The 14,251-nt window shown below is 49.8% G+C and overlaps 1 protein-coding gene across 5 annotated transcripts, besides 3 other annotated features; it reads left to right on the top strand.

Annotated features, from left to right (window-relative positions):
* Nucleotides 1–870: 870 nt before the first annotated feature.
* Nucleotides 871–12,383, top strand: NAGK (N-acetylglucosamine kinase). Of its 5 annotated transcripts, none has more exons than NM_001330426.2 (10): nt 871–911; nt 3,077–3,161; nt 3,316–3,414; nt 4,261–4,402; nt 5,216–5,326; nt 6,057–6,169; nt 8,130–8,217; nt 9,179–9,276; nt 10,133–10,211; nt 10,893–12,383. In NM_001330426.2, the coding sequence occupies exons 3-10, from the start codon at nt 3,355–3,357 to the stop codon at nt 11,081–11,083; spliced, it is 882 nt and encodes a 293-aa protein (NP_001317355.1). In that variant the 5' UTR covers nt 871–911; nt 3,077–3,161; nt 3,316–3,354; the 3' UTR covers nt 11,084–12,383. The 5 variants fall into 5 exon arrangements, with proteins under 5 accessions (NP_001317355.1, NP_001352395.1, NP_060037.4 ...); NM_001365466.2 differs by lacking the exon at nt 871–911 and adding an exon at nt 1,223–1,416; NM_017567.6 differs by lacking the exon at nt 871–911 and adding an exon at nt 1,223–1,287.
* Nucleotides 1,449–1,508: a silencer, noted in NCBI's record as "silent region_11619". NCBI's record gives its function as "represses an Ori minimal core promoter by ATAC-STARR-seq in GM12878 lymphoblastoid cells {active_cell/tissue: GM12878}" and the evidence as "EXISTENCE:reporter gene assay evidence [ECO:0000049][PMID:35858748]".
* Nucleotides 4,963–5,042: an enhancer, noted in NCBI's record as "active region_16012". NCBI's record gives its function as "activates an Ori minimal core promoter by ATAC-STARR-seq in GM12878 lymphoblastoid cells {active_cell/tissue: GM12878}" and the evidence as "EXISTENCE:reporter gene assay evidence [ECO:0000049][PMID:35858748]".
* Nucleotides 5,073–5,132: an enhancer, noted in NCBI's record as "active region_16013". NCBI's record gives its function as "activates an Ori minimal core promoter by ATAC-STARR-seq in GM12878 lymphoblastoid cells {active_cell/tissue: GM12878}" and the evidence as "EXISTENCE:reporter gene assay evidence [ECO:0000049][PMID:35858748]".
* Nucleotides 12,384–14,251: the final 1,868 nt, after the last annotated feature.

Here is a 14,251-nt window from a genome sequence, read left to right on the forward strand (position 1 = left end):
GCAGGCATAAAAAAATCCTACCCTCTATTATATTCTCCATCTGATATAGAATATATGATATATATTCTATAAATGAATACATGATACAGAGTCTATCATGTAGTGATTTACTTTTTACTTTTGTGAATTACAACGTGGTAGGGTAGGAAATGAGAAAGCTTAAAAAGCCTAATTTTCTCACTAAAGCATAACCAGACACAGCAGCCTATTAGGGGTTTCTCCAGAAGATGGCAGGCAGTCAAGGGGGACAGAGTTCGACCCGCGACAGGCCAACTGATTTCCCCAAAAAGATGCCAAGGGCAGCTAACCGCCCTCCTGGCCCGCGAAGCTGCTCCTTGAGGGCCCAAAACTTCCCGGAGGAGCCAGAGGAGGCCCTCAGGAGCCACAGCTCTCCCTGACTTGGCCTGTATTTGCACCCCTAGGGATCCCATTCCCTTTCCCGACGCAGCGCAAGGAAGGGGAGCGGAATGGGGGCTGAAAGGCAATAAAAAACTTGTAAAGCCGTATCTGCTAGTTCTCCCAGTGGGCTATGTCCCTGCAAATATCCTCCACAAGAAGTAAACTGGGTGGGTAGGAAGAGGTGAAGGCTCCCTCCTCAGGGCTGCCGGGACCGCCTCGAGGGCTTGTCTGTTTAGGTCCCAATTCCTCCCGGATCCGTACATTCACACGAGCGCAGGGCAACAATCTGAGCGAGTGTTCGTGTGTGCCCGTGTGACTCGCCATCGCGTGGCAGATGTTCAGTAGAACATTACAGTAATTTCTGTTACAGGTCCATGGGCGCAGGTCCCTGAGCCCACAGCTTCGCGGGGGTCTGGCCGAGCATGCGTCACAACCTACGCGGCCAAGAGCAGTGCGCACGCGCAACCTAACGCGGGACTGCCAGCAACTTCCGGGCGTTTACAGGCAGGCAGGTCAGTGATGTGTCCTAAGGGTCCGACCGACCTAGATACCCCTCTTTGATTCCTCCTCTTGGGATTAGTGTCCATCTCTGGAAGCAGGATCCAGGAGGACGGGAGGGGCCGCTGCGGACCGCAGTCGCTCCACCTGGAGGAGACACCAGAAGGAAGACAGCCTGAGGGACGCAGCCATCCCCGGCTCCTACCGGCGCCCCGCCCCGCGCATGCGCACGCGCACAGGGAGTCAGCTGGCTGCGCGGGAGGTCACGGGAAGTGGGGCGGTGCCCAGACAGCTGGAGGGAAGGAGGTGTCAGGCGGGGAGAGACGCAAACGGCGGGACCAGCAGCGACGGTAGCAGCAGCATGGCCGCGATCTATGGGGGTGTAGAGGGGTGAGTGCGGCCCGGCGGAGGGAGCCTGGGCCCGAAGGCGGGGCGGAAGGCCGTGGCCAGCCTGGCAAGCTGGTGGCCTTGATCCTCGGCGTCCGGGCACTTTGGGCGGCGGGACCTTGCGGTGAAGAGGTGTGTGCACGCGCAGGGGCGCCCTGGAGCGCACAGCTGTATGCCTTACGGGGACTCTGCCTGTGCAACAGCCACACCCCGGGTTGGGGATCCTTTGTGTTTCTTGGCGGAACCACGCCCCTTTCTTCCACGAAACACCCACTCCGCTGTCTTCAGCTGGAGAAGCAGCTCCTTTTTCCTATTCCTGACCTCGGACAGAGTTTTGCAGAACAGGTGTCAGGTGTGAAATTGCTGAGCGCGGGCAGGGTGGGGAGTGGGAGTGGGGAGAAGCGGGACAAAGATCTTGGCTGAGGTTATCCGGGAGCTGGAGCAGCTGCGAGCCAGAGTACTAGGTTGTCCTGATGTCTGAAAACCGCTCCATCCCTGTTGGCCTTCCATGCTGCTTTCACTAGATTGCATTTTTCTGCTCAGAAGCTTGTTTACTGAACTTTTTGTAATAGCTCTGCCCCTGGGTATGACCATGGACAAGATATTTACCCTCCCTGGGCTACAGTTACCGTATGTGCAAAGTGAGGATAGGGATAAATAAGATCGCTATGTCCCTGCCAGTGGCAACATTCTGTGAATCTGAGTTTGTCAAATCAGGGAATAATGGGGGTCGCTGGCCTCTCAGCCAGGGCACTGTACTTTCGAATCTGTGATTGTTTTCACTTCTCTGGCAGCCACACCCCACTGCTGATTCACAGACCCCAAAGTCTTTTCACATGAATTGTTAGGAATGATCTTTCCCATCCTGTATTTGTAGCACTTAAAAAAAACAGTATAGGAGTCTGCATTCATCCTTGTTATAGTCATCTGTAAGATATGACCCGTTTCTTCCAGTTCGTCAAGACATGCTTTTGGATGTGGAATCTGCCACCTCATGTATTAACTACCCCCTTGAAATTTCATGTCCTCTTTGAGTTTGATGAGCGGTCTTCAGTGTCTTCTTCTGCCATTCCTAAAAGTAATGATCAATAAAGAAACATATATCCCATCACCACAGATCTCCCTGTGAACTACTGTGACCCCCAGTAATCAACATTTGAAGGTTTAGTTGCTTAAGTATGTATGAAGTCACCCTGCCATCTGGTCAGCATTTCTAGCAAAGGTGTCTTGAAGACCTTGGCAGCTGGATCTTGAAATGCAGTCTTTAGCTATTGTGAGGGAAGCAGAGAGATGTGCCATTTTTCTTAGGAGTGTTTGCTGAGCATTGCCTGTGCCAGCTCCTGTGCTCGTTCTGAGAGGGTAAGTAAGTGATCAGGAGCTTGACCCAGTGGAGCTTGAAGTCTAGTGAGAGGCGGACACAAAGCGTCTGAACACACACTTCATACAGAGGAGACTTTAATAACTTTGGAGGCACTATGAAGGTTTAACTAACGGAGACTTAACTAATTCGTTGGGGTGGGCCACACCTCAGAAAAGGTTTCGAGGACTAGGTGAAGCGTAAGTAGAGTCTTGCAGGATAAGGAGGACATCCCCAAGGGAAGAGGAGTGAGAATTATGTTTCAGTTAAAGAGCACTCAAACACTGAACCACAGAGGCGGGTTTGGGAGTGGTGATTGAGTTTGTCGAAGCTGTCTCCTCCATCATACTGGGCTCTGCCAGTGTGGACAGCACAAGCTTAGCTCTCTCTGTGGGTTTTTCCGAGCAAGATCAAGTGCCCTCTTGTGTTCTGTAGGGGAGGCACACGATCCGAGGTCCTTTTAGTCTCAGAGGATGGGAAGATCCTGGCAGAAGCAGATGGACTGAGCACAAACCACTGGGTAAAAACCACACTGAGGGGATCAGAGGGCTTGGTTCTGATTTTATTCTCTGTAATTCCTGTTGAGGTGGTGGCTGGGACTCACAGAGCAGCCTGTGGGGGCAACATAGCTTCTGTAAGCCTTTGTAACTCCTTCTTCCCTTGATTGGGGCCAGCTGATCGGGACAGACAAGTGTGTGGAGAGGATCAATGAGATGGTGAACAGGGCCAAACGGAAAGCAGGGGTGGATCCTCTGGTACCGCTGCGAAGCTTGGTGAGTCTGGGGCGGAGCCTGGGAATTCAGCCATCTGTGACACTGAGACAGCTAGCAAGTTTGGACTAGATGAGTTTGATGACTGCAGAGGGAAAGACCTCCAAGACTTAGTCCCTGGTGTCAAAACTGTCATAATCTCACCCAGTCTCATGGCTTCAGTTGCCACCTACAAACTACAAATGTGTTGGAAGAGCACAGGGCTTTGGAGAGCTGCTGAGACCTTGGTTTGAATCCCAGCTTTGCTGCTCAGTATCTGCGTAACCCTGTGTAGGTTACTCACCTTCTCTAAGCCTCAGTTTCCTCATTTGGAAAATGTGAATAGTAGCTACCTCAGAGTTGTTGGGAAAGTAAAATGGCATGATACATTGCAAAGTGGTTAGTATAGAGCCTGACCCATAAGCACTCATTAAATGTTAGCTATTATTTACTCCTGGTTCAGATCTTTCTCCCAAGTTGCGGTAGCTCCAGCTACTCCCTGGACATATATGTGAGATGTTCTGCAGACACAGGCAAACCTCGTGTATACCAAACCAAGCTTACCTCTCTCCATCTCCCCTCACCTTGCCCCGCTGCCTGATCTTTCTGTTAAGAGCACTACTGCCCTTCCAAGCTCCAAAGCTGGCATTGTTGAATCCCCTCTTTCTTCTGTCCATCCCCAGTCCAGGTTGTTCTTATAACCACAGCCTTCTGAGGGGTCATTGTGTGGGGAGAAAGGAGGACTGGGGCTGGGTGAACAGGGTATGGCCAGATGGGGAGAACAGGAATCAGGCATCAGGAGGGGGCGGGGGTTGAGAAAAGAGCTGGGGCTGGGGCTCTGCACACTCGCTCACCTCCCGCGTGGCCTAGGGCCTATCTCTGAGCGGTGGGGACCAGGAGGACGCGGGGAGGATCCTGATCGAGGAGCTGAGGGACCGATTTCCCTACCTGAGTGAAAGCTACTTAATCACCACCGATGCCGCCGGCTCCATCGCCACAGCTACACCGGATGGTGAGGAAGTGGAGGGAGGGGTGAGAGTGAGAACTGGTTTTTTTGGGAAAGCCCCTTAGATATAGCTGACAAAACTTGTTCTGCAAATATCCAGAAGGCAGCCACTCTTATATTCCCCTCAACTCTTTAAGTAGTTTAAGTCTCTGCCAGAGCAAGGACCAGGCAGCAGGAGGAAGGGCAAGAAAGGTCTCTTGATGGGAATCCAGGAGTGGGGTCAAACATAACTCCCCTGCAGATGAGGGACCACCTGGGGGCGGTGTAGTGAGGAAGGCAGGCTGGGGAAGCTGTCAGTGCTGAGGAGGAAGTGGGGTGGCCTTGTGATAGTGTAAAGAGTTTTGGTGTCATGGGATTGGTGTTTGAATCCCAGTTCCTGTTTTGCCTGCTATACCATGTTGGCGAAGTTCCAAAACTCTGAGTTTCAGTTTTCTCATCTATAAAATAGAGGAAGTTGTATTCATAAGATGGTTTAGGGTATGAGTGAATATCACTGTGAGAACGGGTCTAGCACAATCCCAGTAAAGCAGGTAGAGTCACTGGAAGACCGGCTGGGCAAGGAGCCACATTCCCTCTAAGAGGTGCAGGCTTGCATTTCTCTTTGTCCCCCTAGACGAGGGCGTTATGGGATTAGAGTTTTTCTGAGACCCAGGCTCTCACCCTCAGGCAGGAAACTAGCTGGGCTCAGTTTTCTCCTCTACAGGACTGGGTGGTGATTCCCTTGCCTGGGGCTGTTTTCTGTCCTGTCTTTCCACAGTGGCAAGCTGTTGCTCTGTGCCAGGCCTCGGCCACACTGAGCCTCCTATTCCCTTTCCCCAGGTGGAGTTGTGCTCATATCTGGAACAGGCTCCAACTGCAGGCTCATCAACCCTGATGGCTCCGAGAGTGGCTGCGGCGGCTGGGGCCATATGATGGGTGATGAGGGTTCAGGTGAGCTCACTGACTGGCCCAGCTCCAGGTCCTGGATCTGCTCCTTCCTTCACTCCCTGTCTTTCTCTCCTTAGCCTTGGCTCACTGAGCCCTTGGGGCTTCCTGGGGACAACTCCTGAACCTGGCCATTCCATGTGCAGGATCATGACTGAGATCATAGAGGTGCAAATGCTGGACGAGCTGCTGACCCTGCTCTCCAGCAGTGACTTGCACCCAGGACTCAGATTCATCCCTCAGCACAGGGGCCTGCCTGTGTTGACTTGCTGTCCTTAGGGAGGAGTTGAAACTGAGGGTAAGGCCATAGATGCCAGGAGATGCCATACCAGTCTGCTAGGGGAAAGGGTGTAGAAGCCCTTCCAACATCACCTCTCTCTAGGTAGTGTGTGTTTATTTTCATAGGGGCCCTTGAGGTCCAGTTCATGGCAGTGACTCCGGTGGTATTTGTGACAACAGACTGACCTTGCCTTATCCTTGGGTAGGAGCTGGTGTGACACAGCCTCACCTATTCTGTTTTCCCCCTCCAACTTTCCCTTATCTTGGTCAGTCAGATACAGTTTGATAGAGACCCTCCCACCCCCCTCTCCCACCCCCTGCCACCCCTGGCTGGGAATCAGGAAACCTAATTTGTATAAAATTCAAGCAGATCACTAACCTGTCTGGATCTGAGTTTCCCTCCTCGTGAGCTCAGGATGACTGCTCCCATCTTCTTAGCCCTCTCTGCTCCCTGCAGCCTACTGGATCGCACACCAAGCAGTGAAAATAGTGTTTGACTCCATTGACAACCTAGAGGCGGCTCCTCATGATATCGGCTACGTCAAACAGGCCATGTTCCACTATTTCCAGGTACTCCTCCTGCTCCCAGTAAACATGCGCACCTGGGGTAGGGCAGTGAAACACTCCAAGTAAGAGTGGATGCAGGGGAGGGCCTGGGCGGACCGGCAGGAAATAGGGTGAGTTGTGGGTCTGAGTTGCAGGGTGAAGTCATAGGTGAGGACAGGGTGCATTCTAGGAGGTGCATTCTAGGACAGGGCAGTGCATTCTAGGAGGGTGTCAGTCATGAGGAAGCGATGGTTTGGGGACAGGTGATTAGCCAGACTTCATTCTTGGGCAGCTAGAACCTGCTGGGAGGTGAAAGAGATGGCATTCTAGGCTAGAATGAAAAGTGCAGGATGAGATCACAGGGCAGAGACAGCAGGTAGAGTATGAATGTGTGCACTGGGCTGTGAGCTGCTTCTGGCCTGGATGGGTCAAGAGAGCCCTTAAAGAGGTGGACAGGGAGAGTTCTGGGGGATATGCATCTTCCTCCTCTGGGCGTTGGGGATTGACTCCTCCTTGTCTGTGCTGTGTTCATTTGTGGTAAGTTAGGAAACATCTGCCTTTAGCGGAACCAGAGGTAAAAGGCGGGAGAGAAGGTGAAAGGGAGAGGACAAGGTTGATGAGTTTGATAGTTACCTGTGAGGCCCAGTTAGTCTTCCTGTCCAGACATTTAGGTGGGCTGGGGCTGGGGCTGGGACCAGGACCAAGGAAGGAAAATAGAGATGCTGGGAAGTAGGGCCTGGATTATCAGGGCTGAGGGATTGATGATTAAAGAGGGGCCCGGCTAGGCCAAGGTGAGGAATAGGAGGGGACCAGGAAGAGAAATCACTTGATGAGCAGTTGTCATAGGAAGTGCAGTTAGTAACTGTTAAGCTATCCGGACTCAGCCAATTGGTTCCAAACTCTACTGATAGGTCTACTGCTCCCTCTTCTATCCTTTAGTCATTCTTACAGGGTTGTTTCAAAGATCAGATGAGATAGTATATAACGTGCTTACTACATTGCTGTAGGTGCTCAAGTTTTACCACCCACCCCCTCAGACATTTACTTAAAATATATTCTGGGGGCTGGGCACGGTGGCTCACACCTGTAATCCCAGCACTTTGAGAGGCCAAGGTGGGCGGATCACTTGAGGTCAGGTGTTCAAGACCAGCCTGGCCAACATGGTGAAACCCCGTCTGTACTAAAAATACAAAAATTAGCCAGGCGTGGTGGCGGGTGCCTGTAATCCCAGGTACTCAGGAGGCTGAGGCAGAGAGAATTGCTTGAACCTGGGAGGCGGAGGTTGCAGTGAGGTGAGAGCACACCACTGTACTCCAGCTTGGGTGACAGAGCGAGACTCTGCCTCAAAAAAAATAAAAAAAATATTCTGGGGAACCATTGGTTCCTCAGGACCTTAGAGGTGTTAAAGATGTATAAGTTTGTTGGGATTGGAAGGACCTACCTTCTGTGGTCAAATAAGTTTTGGGAGAAACAAATTGATTTCTTGATTGCAGGACTTCTCAGAGCCTTTAATTTGCTAATGTGCATTGTGACTCCCCAAGGGAGAGTTACAATATGCAATATTCCTTGGATTCCTTTGACCAAAGAAATCTTTTCAAGAGCACCCCAACCCAGCTACTCAGGAGGCTGACGTGGGAGGATTGCTTAAGGCCAGCCTAGGCAACAGCAAGACCTTGTCCCTAAAAAGGAAAAAAAAAAAATTACAAAAAAAGAGCAGCTCAAGAAACTATAGGAAACACTTTGGTTAACACAAATCTGTTCTCTGTGCTGCCTTCAAACTAATCTATAAGAAATAATGAAGTCCATGTTAGGGAACACAGATAACTTTTCTCAAATGAGAAATCTCAAATCCCTGTACTTTGGAGTTAAAAAAAATTATTCTAGCTTTTCCAACAGTAGAGACATTAGGAAGGCCAACTTTGGTGGGCAGATTGGGGATTTTCCTTTGCTTCTGATGACTCTCTTGTGCCCTTTCTCCTCTCAGGTGCCAGATCGGCTAGGGATACTCACTCACCTGTATAGGGACTTTGATAAATGCAGGTTTGCTGGGTTTTGCCGGAAAATTGCAGAAGGTACTGGAGGTGGGGGGTGGGTTTTATCTGGCTTTGTTCTCCAAAGATCCCCAGTTGGGAGATTGAGTGGGGTTCAGACAGGACTGACAACAATTTTCCTCTCACCAAGTGACCTCAGTTCTCTGCCACCACTGGCCTTGGTGGTGGTGGGCCTTGGGGTGGAGGCAGAAGGGCACGTGGGTCGTGTTGACAGTTTTGTATTACCTGTGTTTTTTTCTTTAATAGCTATCATGGCTTGCTTAGGCTGTATGCCTGTTTCTGAGGAATTTATGAAGCAGTTGTCCTTTGGACAAATCTATAACTTTCTTTTCCTAGCCAATTATACTCAAAGAACTAGGGGATTATAGAGAGGTTAGGCATATTTTGTTGGGTGTCAGGAGATGCTGAACAGAGGGCTTGTATATCTGTACATTGCTCTTTCTCCACTGTGAGGTCCATCCTGCCTTAATTTGGGTTCCTGCAGCCTCAGGGCATTCTAGGGCTCTCTTAGATCCTGCTGGACTGAGTCCCCTCTAGAAAAGAAGCAGGAACAGGCTAACCAACAGCAGACTGTTAGAAGTTGGTGGAGGGCACTGACAGGAGTACCAGCCAGCTGTTCAGCTAGGATCCTGGGTCCCCAGAGCTGACAGCCTCATAGGAACAGACTTACAGTAACTCAGTGTGAGCTGGATGCATACTAGGTGCCAGTGCATTCCTTTAGTGGGTGCTGCCCTCCCTTCCTGAGTTGGGGGCCTGAGTGAGCACCTCTGTACAGGGCACCCCTCTACAGAGGGAGGTAGCTGGTATGTTTGTCAGTGGAGACTTGCTTCTCCACCTGCCACGAGGCGGGCATCCATCCGGCAGTAGACTCCTAGCTCAGGGTGCTCCTGTGATGGCTGCCTTGCAACAGAGAGAGGATAGCCCAGGAATGGCAGCTCCCTCCTTTCTCACCAGTTTCCTTCTTCCGTCCTCCCTACCCCAGGTGCTCAGCAGGGAGACCCCCTTTCCCGCTATATCTTCAGGAAGGCTGGGGAGATGCTGGGCAGACACATCGTAGCAGTGTTGCCCGAGATTGACCCGGTGAGTTGAGGTGGGAGTGAAGGTGGGGAGCTGCTGGGTGAGGAGTGGTCCTTTCCCACTGTGGATGGGACTATCCCATCAAACCCTGCATAGATTGGATACTATTTTAAATGAACTTAGGGTCTAAGAAGCATTCTGCAGAATGTCTGTAACAAAAAAGTTCTTTGGTCAAATGCCGCCCTCTGTAATTGGCCTGTAATCTGTATTTATGTATAGTAAATTAGTTTAATGTACGTGTGTGTGTGTGCTGTCCCCTTTCTATTTTATTTTTTATTTTTTTGAGACACAGTCTCACTCTGTCAGCCAGGCTGGAGTGCAGTAGCGTGATCTCAGCTCACTGCAGCCTCCACCTCCCACTCTACCTCCCAGGTTCAAGTGATTCTCGTATCTCAGCCTCCCCAGTAGCTGGGATTACAGGCGCGCATCACCATGGCCGGCTAATTTTTGTATTTTTGGTTTTGCCATGTTGGCCAGGTAGGTCTTGAACTCCTGACCTCAAGTGATCCACCCACCTTGGCCCAAAGTGCCGGGATTACAGGCATGAGCCACCGCGCCCAGCCTGTCCCCTTTCTTTCAGTTAATTTCAGTTCAGTCATGTTTCTGTTCATTTCCCTCACTTCTGTCTTTCCTTCCTCTCTATTGTTGCTTAACGCTTTTTCCTTCCTCTTCTCTCCTTGCCCTTTACAAATGTCTCCTATTTTCCTCCCTTTTTTTTTCCCCTTTCCTGAGTCTGTCTACTGTTTCTTGGCTTGAGGGCGAGTAACTGGGATAGAGTGGGTTGGTCATAGGAAACTCCCGCCTTCAGCACTGGAGAGGCTAGGTTGGCCCCCATATCCATTTTCTGCTCTCCACCCAGGTCTTGTTCCAGGGCAAGATTGGACTCCCCATCCTGTGCGTGGGCTCTGTGTGGAAGAGCTGGGAGCTGCTGAAGGAAGGTGAGCCTGGGGGGAGGCTGGAAGGGCAAGGGCAGGGGACGGGGCTGGAAAGGAGGTGGCCCAGGAAAGCTTTTTGCCCCAGAGAGAACCTGCTTCCTGGACCCTGAGGCCTAGACAGGCCACTGATGCTCCCGTCTAAGGCCCTCAACCTCATTCTGCCATTGAGCCCTTTAATGATGTCCCATCCACCTTCCTTGAACTCTTGAAAAGATGTTGTGTTCCAAATGATTTATTGAATAATAGCTACTTTTAAAAAGTTAAAGACAAATCAGACTTAAAATTGGAGCACTGACTGGCATGTGATAACCTGGGGGACATCCCTAGTCAACATAATTCTAGCTAGAAGAAAAGAGGCCTGGCTTCTTAGCCCTGGCAGCCTTATGCCAGGCAGTTGGATGGTTTCTACCGGACATTCTGAAGTAGCTCAAGGACTCCCATTGCTACCATGGAATTCCTGGCATTGGGTCCTTTGGAGCTGAGAGGAGAGCAGGCCCCCTATGTTGCTGGCTCCAATACTCGAGTACCCAGTGCACCCTGTGTGCTGGGCACTTGGCATGTAGGCCCCTCCAGCATCTCTACAGGAGTACCTCAGGGTCTGGGCGTCCTTGTCTGTCTTCCTTCCTGGCCCCAGTACAGGTTGCTGTTCTCCTCTTATCTCTGTCCTTGTGTTCTTCCCTCCAGGTTTTCTTCTGGCGCTGACCCAGGGCAGAGAGATCCAGGCTCAGAACTTCTTCTCCAGCTTCACCCTGATGAAGCTGAGGCACTCCTCCGCTCTGGGTGGGGCCAGCCTAGGGGCCAGGCACATCGGGCACCTCCTCCCCATGGACTATAGCGCCAATGCCATTGCCTTCTATTCCTACACCTTTTCCTAGGGGGCTGGTCCCGGCTCCACCCCCTCCAAGCTCAGTGGACACTGGGTCTGAAAGGAAGGAGTCTTTTGCTTCCTTTCTCCTTTTTACAAAAACAAACATAGAAGAAAATAAATGCACTTTATCCACTCCCCAATTGGACTGCATTATCAAACACATGTGCTATGTACATCCTCAGTGCACCTGCCAGCAGATATCCTGGAGGGCTCATGAGTGAATTTAGTCCAAGATTTAAAGCCCTGCCCCCAGGTGCTCAGCCTGTGATCTGTATCCACTCAGCATGCACTTGGGCAGATGATTTGTCTGTGTGCTACCCTTCCCCCCATATTACCATACATATGCACTGTGTGGCTGCCAGTTAATCTGTGACCTGTTTTCTCCTGTCGTGTCAAGTGGGTAACGATCCCTGGCGACCACAGTCAGCAGAAACAAGTGCTCACCATTCAGAACATCACAGGGAGTAACCTTAGGTATATCACACCCTCTCCTGAGACTCCCAGCAAGATTTAGGGGCTAGAGTACAATTCTAGACTGGGAGCATCTTTACCTCACTGGATTTAGTAACTGCAGGTAAGCAGGACATTTTGAAGTTTTTCCTATGAATGAGTTTTTGAAAGGTTATGAGGATGGCTGAGATCCAAGAAGACCAACTAGGTACCGCTCACCTCGGTAGCTGACCTATTCCTGGCTACTACTAGCCTGGCTCTGCTTACAGCGTGACACTATGTGTTGTGTGTTCCTGGGAATGAGGAGCATCAGTGAAGAGCAGACATGATTCCTGCCCTCTGGGTACCATAGTTCAGCCAGTGAAGGCAAACCTGAAGCTTCGGTTCCACAGCCTGTGCTGCTTGGTGAAGACTAAGGACAGGAGTCTCGATCCACAATAGCTGCCTCTCCAGGTGTTTTATTAGAGGCATGTGGATCATGTCCTGCACATCAGTTCTCCAACTTACAGACATCAGTTATTCTAGAGTTTGTTTTAAAACACGGTTTTGGCCGGGCACGGTGGCTCACGCCTGTAATCCCAGCACTTTGGGAGGCCGAGGCAGGTGGATCACGAGGTCAGGAGATTGAGACCATCCTGGCTAACACGGTGAAACTCCATCTCTACTAAAAAATACAAAAAATTAACCGGGCGTGGTGTCGCGCGCCTGTAGTCCCAGCTACTGGGGAGGCTGAGGCAGGAGAATGGCATGAACCCAGGAGGTGGAGCTTGCAGTGAGCCGAGGTCGCACCACTGCACTCCAGCCTGGGCGACAGAGCGAGACTCTGCCTCAAAAAATAATAAATAAAAATAAAATCAGGTTTTTGTCTACTCCCCTCCCCTGCCCTAAGGTATCTGATGATAATAGGTTAAGGATGGGATGGGGAATTTTCATTTCTATTATACTGAACAGCTTGAGTAATTTCTGCTGCAGAGGTCCAGCATCTGCACTTGAGGGAGTGCTATGCTACAGCTGGTAAGTTCTGATTAGGCCTTCTAAGACATCTTGAATACTATCTTGTTGCCCAAGTCGGATGATGCTGTTCTTTCACAGTGTAGCATTCACGTAGAACAGAATAGTAACAGCTCTCCTTCCATCAGCTCTAGCCCAGTGCTGCAAGCTGGAGCTTTGAGCAATAAGAACTCCAGCCAGGTCCCTTCTGAAAGAACAGCCAGCCATCTTCACATCCAGCTATGACCAAATCACTGTGGTCTAGCACTCAGCAAGTCTCCAGTCCAGCACCTGGTAAAAAGCTTGCAGAGAGAACAAGGACACAGCAGAGGCATCTTTGCTATATCCCACAGTCTTGAAAAACTGTTAGGTTATTAATGAGTGGTGAGCTTTGGAGATTTTTTTAAATAATGCTCTCAGGATGAGGATCAAACAGCATTTTGGTGAAAAGAGTTTATAACTACTGAGACCTACTTATGTTCTTCAGAATATGGCCATCACTTTTCCTTAGAATTGTCTAGACTGCAATTCCAATTGGACAGTGGAGGTTTTAGTGGAGGAGCACATCTTGATTTTTTTAGTCCCAGCATAGAAATGTTGAAAAAAATGCTGAAAAAAGGTAGTATTAAAGTGCATAAGGTCAGATGTGTTCCTAGTTCCTGTCACATTTAGGAGATGTGATGAGGTCACTTCCCAGTTATTAAAGCTCTATTAGGCTGCAGTGCAGAAAATCGCAAGTGATTTTTTAAAATTTATTTTAGAGGTGAGGTCTTATTCTTGCCTAGGCTAGAGTGCTGTGGCACTATCATAGCTCACTGCAGCATTGAATTCCTGAGCTCAAGTGATCCACCTCAGCCTTCCAAGTAGCTGGGAGTACAGACATGTACCACCACACCTGGCTAATTCTGTCATTTTTTTGTAGAGATGGGTCTTGCTATGTTGCCCAGGTTGGTCTCAAACTCCTGGCTTCAAGCAATCCTGCTGTCTTGGGCTCCCAAAGTGCTGGAATTATAGGTGTGAGCCACCATGCCCAGCCCAAAAGTGATTTTTGCTGAGTTTCTCCCCTTTTATTATTTTATTTTATTTTATTTTATTTATTTTATTTTATTTTATTTTATTTTATTTTATTTTATTTTATTTTATTTTATTTTATTTTATTTTATTTTATTTTATTTTTGAGACAGAGTCTCACTCTGTTGCCCAGGCTGGAGTGCAGTGGTGTGATAACGGCTCACTGCGACCTCTGCCTCCCAGGTTCAAGTGATTCTCCTGCCTCAGTCTCCCAAGTAGCTGGGATTACAGGCATGCAACACCACGCCCTGCTAATTTTTTTGTATTTTTTAGTAGAGTTGGGGTTTTGCCATGTTGGCCAGGCTGGTCTCAAACTCCTGACCTCAGGTGATCTGCCCGTCTTGGCCTCCCAAAGTGCTGGGATTACAAGCGTGAACCACTGTGCCCGGCCTTCTCCCCCTTTAATTTTAAACTTATAGTGTCCCCCAACAAACTATCAGAAGAAATTCATGGGATTTTGTATCACCAAGGCATTAAGAGATGTATACAGTCCTCTCATCTGAGCCTGTAACAGCCCTGTGATGAGACAAGAGAGCTTGGAACAAGCATTGGAATGAGGCTAGCACTGCCTTATCTCCCTGTGTGATCACAGGGATAGTACAGCTTCATCTGTCCCTTTCATTCAGCAAACATTTATTGAATGTCTTGCAGGTGTGATGAGTAC

The sequence above is a fragment of the Homo sapiens genome, chromosome 2 (genome assembly GCF_000001405.40).
Source record: "Homo sapiens chromosome 2, GRCh38.p14 Primary Assembly".
In the NCBI taxonomy this organism is placed as follows: Eukaryota; Metazoa; Chordata; class Mammalia; order Primates; family Hominidae; genus Homo; species Homo sapiens.

Excerpts from the sequence above, each read along its gene's own strand:
- NAGK (NM_017567.6), top strand. The coding sequence starts at position 1,259 with ATGGCCGCGATCTATGGGGGTGTAGAGGG. Across the intron at positions 3,162-3,315 it reads GACTGAGCACAAACCACTGG|CTGATCGGGACAGACAAGTG; the intron begins GTAAAAACCACA and ends GATTGGGGCCAG. Across the intron at positions 10,212-10,892 it reads CTGGGAGCTGCTGAAGGAAG|GTTTTCTTCTGGCGCTGACC; the intron begins GTGAGCCTGGGG and ends TCTTCCCTCCAG.